At 35.5% G+C, this 12508-nt stretch overlaps 1 long non-coding RNA gene across 1 annotated transcript in view; it reads left to right on the forward strand.

The window, feature by feature from the left end:
• PINCR (p53-induced noncoding RNA) overlaps positions 1 to 12508 on the forward strand; it is a 49605-nt gene that overhangs the window by 34751 nt on the left and 2346 nt on the right. The window contains exon 5 of the long non-coding RNA NR_110387.1: positions 11572 to 11653. This is a non-coding gene — a long non-coding RNA (p53-induced noncoding RNA). The remainder of the gene's footprint in view (positions 1 to 11571; positions 11654 to 12508) is intronic.

A 12508-nucleotide genomic window follows, 5' to 3' on the forward strand; every position in this document is an offset into this window, starting at 1 on the left:
CTGACATGCATGCATGCAGGGGTCTATTGCCATCCCTCCAGAGGACTCTTGCCAGCAGCCCCCATCAGAGCATCACTGTCAGCAGACTGGGAACACCTTGGCCCTTCCAATGTATCAGGTGCTTAACTCAATGGGCAAGAGAATAAAGCTGCAGGCCTGTTCCCAGCCCCTCAGGGATAGAGCACATAGCCAGAGTGCTGAGCTGAGACTTGGCTCTCTGGAAGCAGTTAGAAATGAAGCCAAACAACTAAACCTAAAGTATACTATAGTCAAACCCTCAGGAACATTAAAAAATATGAAAGCAAAAATTTTCATCCAAAAAACAGTAGCTTCAAAGATGAAATGAGCATCAGCCCACACAGATGAGGAAGAGCCAGTTCAAGAACTCTGGCAACTCAAAAAGCCAGAGTGTCTTCTCGTGACAAAAAAATGACCACACTTGTTCCCTAGCAATGGTTCTTAACCAGACTGAAATGGCTGAAATGGCAGACATAGAATTCAGAATCTGGATTGCAAGGAAGCTTATCAACATACAGGAGAAAGTTGAAACCCGATCCAAGGAACACACTAATATGGTCCAAGAGTTGAAAGACAACATAGCCAGTTTGATTTTTAAAAAGAATCAAACTGAACTTCTTGAAGTGAAAAACTCACTACAGGCATTACAGAACGAAAATGGAAGCATTAATAACAGAATAGACCAAGCTGAGGCAAGAATTTCAGAGCTTGAAGGCTGCCCCTTTGAATCAATGCAGGCAAACAAAAATAAAGAAAAAATAATTTTTAAAAATGTACAAAACCTCCAAGAAATATGGCATTCTATAAAGAGATCAAACCTATGACTCATTGGCATTCCTGAAAAAGATGGAGAGAGAGAGCAAGCAGCTTAGAAAACATATTTGAGGATACTGTCCATGGAAAACTTTCCAACCTTGCTAGAGAGGTCAACATACAAATTCAAGAAATTCAGAGAACCCTTGTGAGATAACACAAAAGATGACCATACCCAAGACACATAGTCATCAGATTCTCCAAAGTCAATGTGAAAGAAAAAATCCTAAAGGCAGCTAGAGAGAAGTAGCAGGTCACTTACAAAGGAAACCCCATCAGGCTAACGGTGGACCTTTCAACAAAAACACTAGAAGCCAGAAGAGATTGGGGGCCTACATGCAGCATAATTAAAAAAAAATTCTAACCAAGAATTTCTTATCCAGTCAAACAAAGCTTCGTAAGTGAAGGAGAAATAAAATCCTTTTTAGACAAGCAAATACTAAGGGAGTCCTTTACCACCAGGCCTGCCTTACAAGAAGTTCTTAAGGGAGTGCTACACATAGAAAAAAAAGACGAACACCTGCCGCCACAAAAACACACTTATGTAGATAGCCCACTGACGTTATAAAGCAACTGTACAATCAAGTCCACATAACAACCAGCTAACAACATGATGACAGGTTCAAATCTTGATATATTAATATCAACCCTGAATGTAGACGGGATGAATGCCCCACTTAAAAGACATGGAGTGGCAAGTTGGATAAAGAAACAAGACACAACTGTATGCTGTCTTCAAGAGACCCATCTCACATGCAATGACATCCATAAGCTCAGCAGATGTAGAAAGATCTATCAAGCAAATTGAAAACAGAAAAGAGCAGGAGTTGATATTCTTATATCAAATAAAACAGACATTAAACCAACAACAATAAAAAAGGACAAAGAAGGGCATTACATAATGATAAAAGGTTCAATTCAACAAGAAGTCTTAACTATCCTAAATATATATGCACCAATACTGGAACACATATATTCATAAAATAAGTTATTAGAGACCTAAGAAAACCTTCCTACTATTATTGTGTTGTTATTAGTGAACAACACAATAATAGTGGGAGACTTCAACACCCCATTGACAGTGTTGGATCAACAAGAAATAAAACAAACAAAAATATTCAGGACCTAAACTCAATGCCTGACCAAATGGACTTAACAGACATGTACAGAATACACCACTCAACAACAATAGAGTATACATTCTCATCTGCACACAGCACATACTTTAAGATTGCCTGCACACTTGGCCATAAAGCAATTCTCAACTAATTTTTAAAAACTGTAATCATGCCAACCACACTCTCAGACCACAGTGCAATAAAAATAGAAATCAATACCAGTAGATCTCTCAAAACCATACAAGTACATGTAAATTAATCAACCTGTTTATGAATGACTTTTCAGTAAACAATGAAATTAACACAGAAATTTTAAAAAAATCTTTGATACTAATAAAAACAAAGATACAACATACCAGAATCTCTGGGCCATAGCTAAAGCAGAGTTAAGAGGAAAGTTTATAGCACTAACCACCTACATCAAGAAGTTAGAAACGTATCAAATTAAAAACCTCATGTCACACCTAGAGGAACTAGAAAAACAAGAGCTAGCCAAAGATAGCAGAAGAAAAGAAATAGCCAAAGTCGGAGATGAAGTGAATGAAATTGAGACATTAAAACCCATACAAAGGGTCAATGAAACTAAGAGTTGGTTCTTAGGAACAATAAATAAGATTGATAGACTGCCATGTACATGAATAAGGGAAAAAAGAGAGATCCAAATAAACACAATAAGAAAAGACAAAGGGGACATTACCATCAACCTTACAGAAATACAAAAAAAAAAAAGCCCTCAGAGGCTATTACAAACACCTCCATAAAACACAAACTAGAAAACCTACAAGAAATGAATAAATTCCTGGTAACATACAGTCTCCCAAGATTGAACCAGGAAAAAAAAAAAATTGAAACCCTGAAAAGATCAATAACCAGTTCCAAAATTGAATCAGTAATAAAAAAACCTACCAACCAGAAAAAGCCCCAGAACAGATGGATTCACAGCCAAATTCTACCAGAGGCATAAAGAAGGGCTGGTACCAATCCTACTGAAACTATTCCAAAAAATTGAGGAGGAGGGACTCCTCTTGAACGCATTCTATGAGGCCAGAATCATCCTGATACCAAAACCTGGCAGAAACACAATGAAAAGAGAAAACTTCAGATCACTATCCCTGATGAATATAAATGCAAAACTCCTGGACAAAATACTAGCAAATCTAATCCAGCAGCACATCCAAAAGCTATTCCACTATGAACAAGTAGGCTTTATCTCTGAGATGAAAGATTGTTTCAACATAGACAAGTTAATAAATGTGATTAATCACATATAGGGGACTAAAAACAAAACCCACATGATCATCTCAATAAATGCAGAAAAGGTTTTCAATAAAATTCAACATCATTTCATGCTAAAAACCCTCAACAAACTCAGCATCGAAGGAACATACCTCAAAATAATAAGAGCCATCTATGATGAACCCACAGCCAACATCATACTGAATAGGCAAAAGCTAGAAACATTCCTCCTTAGAACTGGAACAAGAAAAAAATATCCAGTCTCAGCACTTCTATTCAATATAGTACTGGAAGTCATAGCCAGAGCAATAAGGCAAGAGAAAGAAATAAAAGGCATCCAGATAGGAAGAGATGAAGTCAAACTATCTCTTTTTGCAGATGATATGATTCTATACAGAGAAGACTCCATAATCTCTGCCCAAAGGCTCCTAGAACTGATAAGCAACTTCAGTAAAGTTTCAGTATACAAAATCTGCATAAAAATCATTAGTATTTCTATACACCAACATTGTCCAATCTGAGAGCCAAATCGAGAATGCAGTGCCATTCACAATAGCCACAAAAAAATAAAATACCTAAGAATACAGCTAACCAGGGAAGTCAATGATCTCTATAATAAAAATTACAAAACACTACTCAAAGAAATCAGAGGACACAAACAAATGAGAAAAATTTCTATGCTCATGGATAGGAAGAATCAACATTGTTAAAATGGCCATGCTGCCCAAAGCAAGTTATAGATTCAATGCTATTCCTATCAAACTGCCAATGTCATTTTTTACAGATTAGAAAAAAAACTATTCAAAATTCACATGTAACCAAAAATAGCTCAAATAGCAAAGGCAATCCTAAGCAAAAAGAACAAAGCTGGAGGAATCACATTATCCAATTTCAAACTGTACTACAAGGCCACAGTAACCATAATAGCACGGAATTGGTACAAAAATAGACACATAGACCAATTGAACAGGTTATAAATCCCAGAAATAAAGCTGCACATCTACAACCATCTGATTTTTTACAAAGTTGACAATAACAAACAATGGGGAAAGGACTCCCTATTCAATAACTGATGCTGGGATAACTAGCTAGCCATATGCAGAATATTAAAACTGGACCCCTTTCTTTCACCACATACAAAAATTAACTGAAGATGGATTGAAGACTTAAATGTAAGACCTAAAACTATAGAAACCCTAGGAAAAAAACCTAGGAAATATCATTCTGGACATAGGCCTTGGCAAAGATTTCATGATGAAGATGCCAAAAGCAATTGCAACAAAAACAAAAATAGACAATTGGGACCTAATTAAACTAAACAGCTTCTGCACAACAAAAGAAACTTTCAACAGACTAAACAGACAACCTACAGAATGGGAAAAAAATTTGCAAGCTACGCATATGACGAAGGTCTAATATCCATAATCTATAAGCAACTTAAATCAGTAAGAAAAAACCAAACAACCCTATTAAAAATGGGCAAAGTACATGAACAGACACTTCTCAAAAGAAGACATACATGCAGCCAACAAACACATGAAAATAATTCTCCACATCACTAATCATTAGAGAAATTCAAATCAAACTACAATGAGATACCATGTCACACCAGTCAGAATGGCTATTATTAAAAAGTCAGAAAATAACAGATATTGGTGAGATTGTGGAGAAAAAGGAACACTTATACACTTATATACTGGTAGGAATGTAAATTATTTCAGCCACTATAGAAAGCGGTTTGGAGAATTCTCAAAGAACTTCAAAAAGAAATATCATTTGAACCAGCAATACCATTACTGGATATATACCCAAAGGAATATACATTGTTTTACCAAAAAGACATATGCACTCATATGTTCACTGCAGCACTGTTCACAATAGAAAATACATGGAATCAACCTAGATGCCCATCAGTAGTGAAATGGATAAAGAAAATATGGTACATATACACCATGGAGTACTACACAACCATTAAAAAAAGCAATCCTGTCCTTTGCAGCAATATGGATGGAGCTGGAGGCCATTATTCTAAGCAAACTAACACAGGAACAGAAAACCAAATACTGCACATTCTCACTTATAATTGGAAGGTAAACATTGAGTTCACATGAACACAAAGAGGGGAACAATAGACACCAGGGTGTACTTGAGGGTGGAGGTTAGGAGGAGGGTGAGGGTTGAAAATCTACCTATCAGGTACTATGCTCACTACCTGGGTAATGAAATCATTTGTATACCAAACCCCAGTGACACAAAATTTACCGATGTAACAAATCTGCATATGTACCCCCTGAACCTAAAATAAAAGTTGAAGAAGAAGAAAAGTAAATGAAAAAAGAAATTGCCTAAGCATTTTATTAGAGATGTGAATTATTTTTCAAAAGATTTTGAAATATATTAGGTTAAAATATTTTTTCTTAGACCAAGTCTGGTTCAATTTTTCTTTCTCAGATTCTGCTTTTGAAGGAAACAATCATAAAGGAACTGGTTTTGTTAGAAAAATATCTGAATATATTTTTGTGCTAAATTTATTAATTGAATTTCTTGCTTAGTCAAATTTTATATTTAATACAGATAGCAGGAATGGGAGCTGGGCTGAATTAATACAATACAGCCCTCTCAATAGAGCTGGGAAATATATGTATGTATGCTAACCCATGTATACATATTTATCTACCTTTCTGTATCTATCTATATGTATATTAAATATGAATTTATACTGATGTCTCCAACTCTAATCCAGCAACACAGGGTATATTCTGGTCCTCCCTTTTTGCTTATTTATAACTTATTTCCATGACACTGAGAATTCTGGCTCTTATTATCTACTATAAGGGTCAGCAAACTTTTCATGTAAAGAGATAGTTTTTCCTGTAAAAGTAAATATTTTAGGCTTTGGGGGCCATAATGTCTCTATCACAACTCCTCAGCTTTGAATTTTTTAATAATTTTCACGTATTATAAAGTATAATTTTTCTATTGATTTTTTTAGCCATTCAATAATGAAAAAAAAAGTTTTTTTGTGGGCCATAGAAAAATAAGCTAAATTTGGCCCACAGTCCATAGTATGCCAATCCCTATTCTACAGTACACTTATTTGTTCACTGTAGTGCTTACATAGTTTCAGAATTGCTAATCCATATCCCATGCTAGACAAGTTTACCAACTAAAGCACAGTGTTTGTACACGGTACTTTTTGCCTTTATCCTTACAGTCAAAACACTATATTACAAAGTTATCAGGTCTGCTCCTTTCTTCCTCATTTGCATCAATATAATAACGTTATGGGGCACAGGACTACCCCAAAATGTGGCACCTTGGCATTTGAGAAAGTAGCAGGAGCAGGAAGGTCTCTCAAGCCTTCCCTTGTCCTTCTCCCCTGAGGCAGATTATAAGATCTAGGAAGGATTTTCTGAGCTGTCCCTGAAGCAGGTTATAAGACCAACATTCCAAAGGTGCCCTCTCTTATCTTCAGAGATAAGGAAAAGAACATTCTTATCTCTGAAGACGCAGGGACAGAGAAGACTCTCACATGAGAGGAAGTCTACACTTGCTCATTTAACCATTTCTGGCAGTGTTGGAGGTTAAGCCACATTTTTTTCTGTGGTATTTTGGTAGAGGAGCTATTTTCTAATAATAAATATTTTCTATCTATCCATCTAGGTTGCTCCTCTCCTGGCTCTTAGGCTAGATAGACTATAGAAAGTAGGATTTCTTGTTGTTGTTGTTGTTGTTTTCCCTTGGTGTTTGCCTATTGATGTTTCTGAGTTGCTGGCTTCTCCAGTGCCCGGTTTGGAAAATATGTGTCAAACACACACACACACACACACACACACGATTCACCACTAATCACTCCTTTGATCCTGAAGTTGCTAGCTTGTCTGACTTCTTTCCACCTTTCAGAGTAGTACACATCTATTTCTCCCCTGCTGACCTTGGTACTTAGGTTTTCATACATTTTGCTTTAATTTATGCTATAAATCTCAGGCTACATTCTTATTATTTTTGAAGAGTAAGTTATCCTTTAAAGAGATTTAAATAATGAGGAAAAGGTGTTACATATTTACCCATGTAGTCACCATTCTGATGATTCTTCATCTTTTGTGGAGATCAATATTTGCATCCTACCCAAGACTTCTTGTTATCTGTCTTTTTTATTATAGCCATGCTAGTAAGTATAAAGTAGTATCTCATTGTGGTTTTGATTTGCATTTCCCTAATGGCTAATAATGTTGAGTATCTTTTCATGTGTTTGTTGGCCATTTATGTATCTTTTCAGAAAACTATTTGTTCATATAATTTGTCCATTTTTCAATTGAGTTATCTTTTTATCATTGAATGGTAAGTATCCTGAATACAAATCCATTATCAAATATAAGATTTGAAAATATTTCCTCCCATTTGTGGTTGCCTTTTCATTTTCTTCATAGTATTCTTTCAGGGACTAAAGTTTTACATTTTGATGATGTCCATTTTATCTATGTTTTCTTTTGTTGCTTGTACTTTTGTTTTCATGTCTAAAAATTTTTGCCTAGCCTAAGGTCATGAAGATTTGCTCCTATATTTTCTTCTAAAAGTTGTATAATTTTAATTTAGGTCTAAGATCAGATTTAATTTTCTTGTGTGGATTTAGGAGAGTGTTCTTCTTCCTTCTTTTATGTGTGAATATTCAATTATACCACCACCATTTATTCAAGAACTATTTTCCCCTATTGCATTGTCTTGGCATCTTTTGACCATAAATGTGAGAGTTTATTTCTGGACCCTCAATTCTATTTAGTTTATTTATACTTCTATCTTTTTGCCAGTACCATGCTGTCTTGATTACTGGAGTTTTGTGGTAAGTTTTGAAATCAGAAAGTGTGAATTCTCCAAATTTGTTTTTATTTGTCAAGTTTTTATTTATTTATTTATTTTAGCTATACTGGGCCCTGTGAATTTCCTCATTGATTTTAGAATCAGCTCTTCAATTTCTGCAAAGAAGCCTGGTGAAATGTTGCTAGTAATTGTGTGGATCTGTAATCGATTTGGGAAGTATGTCTATGTTAATAATATTAAGTCTTTTTATCCATGAACATAGAGTTTTTTCATCTATTTAGGTCTTCTTTAACTTCTTTTAACAATATTTCGTAGTTTTCAGAATACAAGTTTTGCACTTCTTTTGTTAAATTTATTCCTAAGCACATTGTTCTTTTGGGTCCTATTGAAATGTGAATACAACCTTATTTTCTTCCCTCTTTGTATGACTTGTCTTTTTTTTATTGGATGTCATAAATTGTTAATTTTACCTTGCCGGGTGCTGGATATCTTTGTATTCCTATAAATCTTCTTGAAAATTTTTCTCTTCATAGAGTTAAGTTACTTGGAAACATTTTGGTCATTTCAGATTCTGCTTTCAGATTTGTTAGGTGGGCCTGGAACACTGGTCAGTTTAGGACTACTGCCCATTATTGAGGTTAGACCCTTCTGTGTACTGTATTTAACCCCCCATGAATCTTAGTTACTTATTTATTCATTTATTTGCTTACTTACTTATTTCTTTACTTAATTAGTAACAACAGGGTCTTGCTATGTTGCCCAATCTGGTCTTGAACTCCTGGCCTCAAGCAATCTTCCCACCTCCACCTCCCCAAAGCACTGGGGTTATAGGAATGAGCCACTGCACCCAGCTTAAATCCTATGAATCTTGAGGTAAAGCACTATTTCTGGCCCTTTGGGAGCATTTTTTTTCTCTAATCCTTTCATCTGATTCTTTCTCCATCCTCAGGTAATTTTCTCACACACGTACTAATTGATACTCAGTGGGGAACACTCTGCACTGGAATTCTTTTCCTAGAGTTCTCTTACAGCCCTATCCTTTCTGGCACTCTGTCCTACCAACTCTAGGCCACTTTGTTCTCCAAGATTCTCAGCTCCTCTTAAATTCAGTGCGTCTGTGGACTCTTCGTGATCCCCCTCTCTGTGTCATGGACTAGAAATTCTCTGAAGATAATTATAGTGCTCTCTTCATTTGTCTCCCTTCTCTCAGGGTCACTGTCCTTCACCTTCTCAGACTAATGTAAAATCAAGATGTCACTAGCTTGGTTCCATGACCCACCATGGATAATAAAATCTACAGATGCTTGGGCCTCTACTATGAAGTGGCATGGTATTCAACCATAACCTATGCACATCCTTCTGTATACTTTAAATCATTTCTAGATTACTTTTTGGTTGTATTTTTCTAAATTTGAGGTCTGAACTCGAAGGAAGGTGATGTCATAATAGTTTTCAGATGGGAGTACAATGTGAGGATAAGAAACTTCCAGAGAGTAGCAACACCATGTAACAACCATAACAGAATTGTTTCATAATAAACATTCAGGAATTTAGTTCTTTATGTCACTTTGCTTAGAGTTGTCTCTAGTCATGGAATTCCCAAAAGTAGATAGAAACCTAAAAATTAACAGACTCTTTTGAGAATGCACAGTCAGGGTGGGTGAGGCAAAAATCATTTGCCATCTGGGTAGAATATGCTGAAAGCAAATGATAACTTTTTATTGTCTCACATTTAGAACAGACATTACTCTAAAGACCCTTTTATTTTGTCTTCTGAGCTACCAGTGTCTTCTCTCACTTAAATATAAAATTTGTTAATAAAAAAAATTCATATACAATCACACTAAAAAATAACAGATTATAACTTAATTTAAAAATGTAAGCTGTAGCTTTTAACTTTTCTAAACACATAAGAATTTTTTTCTATAGTGTCAACTATATTTAAATATAAATGAGAATACATAAATGAAAACTATTGTTTGGTGACCAATTACTTTTGCTGTTTTCATCTTTATTCACTTAGATTTCTTTAACAATTTTCCAGATAACCTAAGATTATTTTTTAATGACACCAATATAATACTTAGAGAAGACTTTAAATTATAATTGCTGGCCGGGTGCAGTGGCTCACGCCTGTAATCCCAGCACTTTGGGAGGCCAAGGCAGGTGGATCACCTGAGGTCAGGAGTTCGAGACCAGCTTGGCCAACATGGTGAAATCCCGTCTCTACTAAAAATATAAAAATCAGCCGGGCGTGGTAACACACACCTGTAGTCCCAGCTACTTGGGAGGCTGAGGCAGGAGAATCACTTGAACTGGGGAGGCAGAGGTTGCAGCGAGCCGAGATCGCGCCATTGCACTCCAGCCTGGGTGACAGAGAGAGAACTCCGTCTCTAAATAAATAAATAAATAAATTATAATTTCAAGATCCTTATTTAGCTGTAAGTTAATTAAATAACAGTGTAGTCACTGTTGATATTAAAAAAACTTCCCAGAAAAGTATAACACCCTGAAATTTCACCTGGTACAAGTTAAGTAATTCTTGGGTTCACATAATTTGAAACTGTGCTTGGAGTTTACAAGAACAACAATAGCAAAAAATCATAAGGATATTAGTTATTGTAAATCAATTTAGTTGAACATCCATGTTTAAATTTACATGTCCTAAAATTTTTGTATCAGTAATGATTATTTATCTGACCCCATAAGACAAGTATAGAAAAGTTCCAGTTAACCAGACACTTTTGTAAGAAAATAAAATCAAGTACTGTATATATAAAGTACTTTATATTATATTCTACACTGTGATAAAGTAAGAAAGAAAACATGTAACTATCTTTTAAAACAAATCTATCAAAACAGTTTAATTTGCCCATGACTTACTATAACTAAAAGTAATAAAAGAACCTTTATAATCCTCTCATATTTATCAGAAAAGATTAAAACTATTTTAATTTTGCTTTAAAGTCATCATTTAGAATAGTTTCTTAAAACTGGCCTTATACCAATGTATCAATGCTCATTTCTTTGTTTCTTATCATAGTAACCTAAAGTTCACCCATATACCTAAAACTTAATTGTTCCCTTTTAGGCACAGTTTTTTTGTTTCTTCCTTTTTGTCTATGCATTCTTGAGACTATTTATTCTAAAATTATATGAACTTAGTTCCTAGACCAGTTACAATATGAGCTCCATTAAATGTGATAAATTTAGCAATATTGTTCATTTCCATCCAGATTCGTCAATTTAGTTCCACAAAAATGTATAACTAAGGAGGGAGATCCCTTTATGCTCTACCTAGATCCTACCTCAGGGAAAGATTTGCCTCAGCTTCTGGGAGAGATGTCAAAGATGTGTCAGCCAAAGGTAGCCACAAATTTCCCCCACTACCCTGATCCAAATGGAGATGGCAATGTCCAGACCTCTCTACCCAAAAAGGAACAACTCTGAAGAGCTATTTTAACTGTAGAGTGCCACCATAGGGTTGCCCCAAATCTTTGTTAGGCTGGCACTGCAGGTTGGCCTTCTCCCTCTGCTCATGCTTATTTAAACCTCTTACCTCCCACAGGTGTTGATCCCTTCATAAATATTATGCATGCTAAGCCCTATCTCAAGGTCTACATCCAGGAGAACCCAACCTGCAACATTAAGTAAGTAAATAGTTTGCCTTTGATAACATTATTTATATCTCCAGAGTTGGTTCTATCTCTGCCTATTCTAGCCAATCCCTCAGTCACTGTGCCCAGCACAGGGAACTGTCTTTCTCTTTAATGTCACAGAAGAAGATAGGATATTTTTGTGATATTAGTTGAACAGATTTTCCATTGCTTCTTCATCTCAAAATGGACCTGTCTGTTTGAACTCATGTTTTCATGGTGCACACAAATGACCAATTCCTGTGATCAATTACCTTTAAGTTTCCAGAGATATTTTAAGCAAACAGGCAGTTGTGTATCTAGAATCTCTCTGACCACAAACACAAAGAATTATAAATGACTGTTTATAGACATAGGCCAACATGTGAAAAATTGCTGGGCAAATTATACAATTTTAGCTAAAAGAAAAATGAAAATAAGACACAAAATCCCTATGGAAGAAACACAAAATAACTTCCTGCAACCAAAAGAAATAATCGATTATTTGCCCACTATATCTTTTCTAGGGGCTTTTGTCATCCCTTAGTAATATAATTGCTGACCAAAAGCCTATGGTACCACACCCGAATCTCCTTTCCTCCAGTCTTATGACATCCTTCAGACATCAAATGACATTTCCAGGCATTCGTGGGAGAAGCAGGGGTGGTGACATTTATTGTAACTGTCCAAAACATGAGAACACCCAGTACTCTAGCTCCAAACTTTCTCTAAAAGTTTTCACCATGAGATTTTGAAAAGCAAAAGCTCTAAAATTGAGTCCAATTTCTATGTCTCATTAAAACAGTCAGTGGCAGTAGCTGCAGAATAGTAAAGCCACGGAGATCTGAAGTTTTCAGTGTCATTCTTGGT

The sequence above is a fragment of the Homo sapiens genome, chromosome X (genome assembly GCF_000001405.40).
Source record: "Homo sapiens chromosome X, GRCh38.p14 Primary Assembly".
In the NCBI taxonomy this organism is placed as follows: domain Eukaryota; kingdom Metazoa; phylum Chordata; class Mammalia; order Primates; family Hominidae; genus Homo; species Homo sapiens.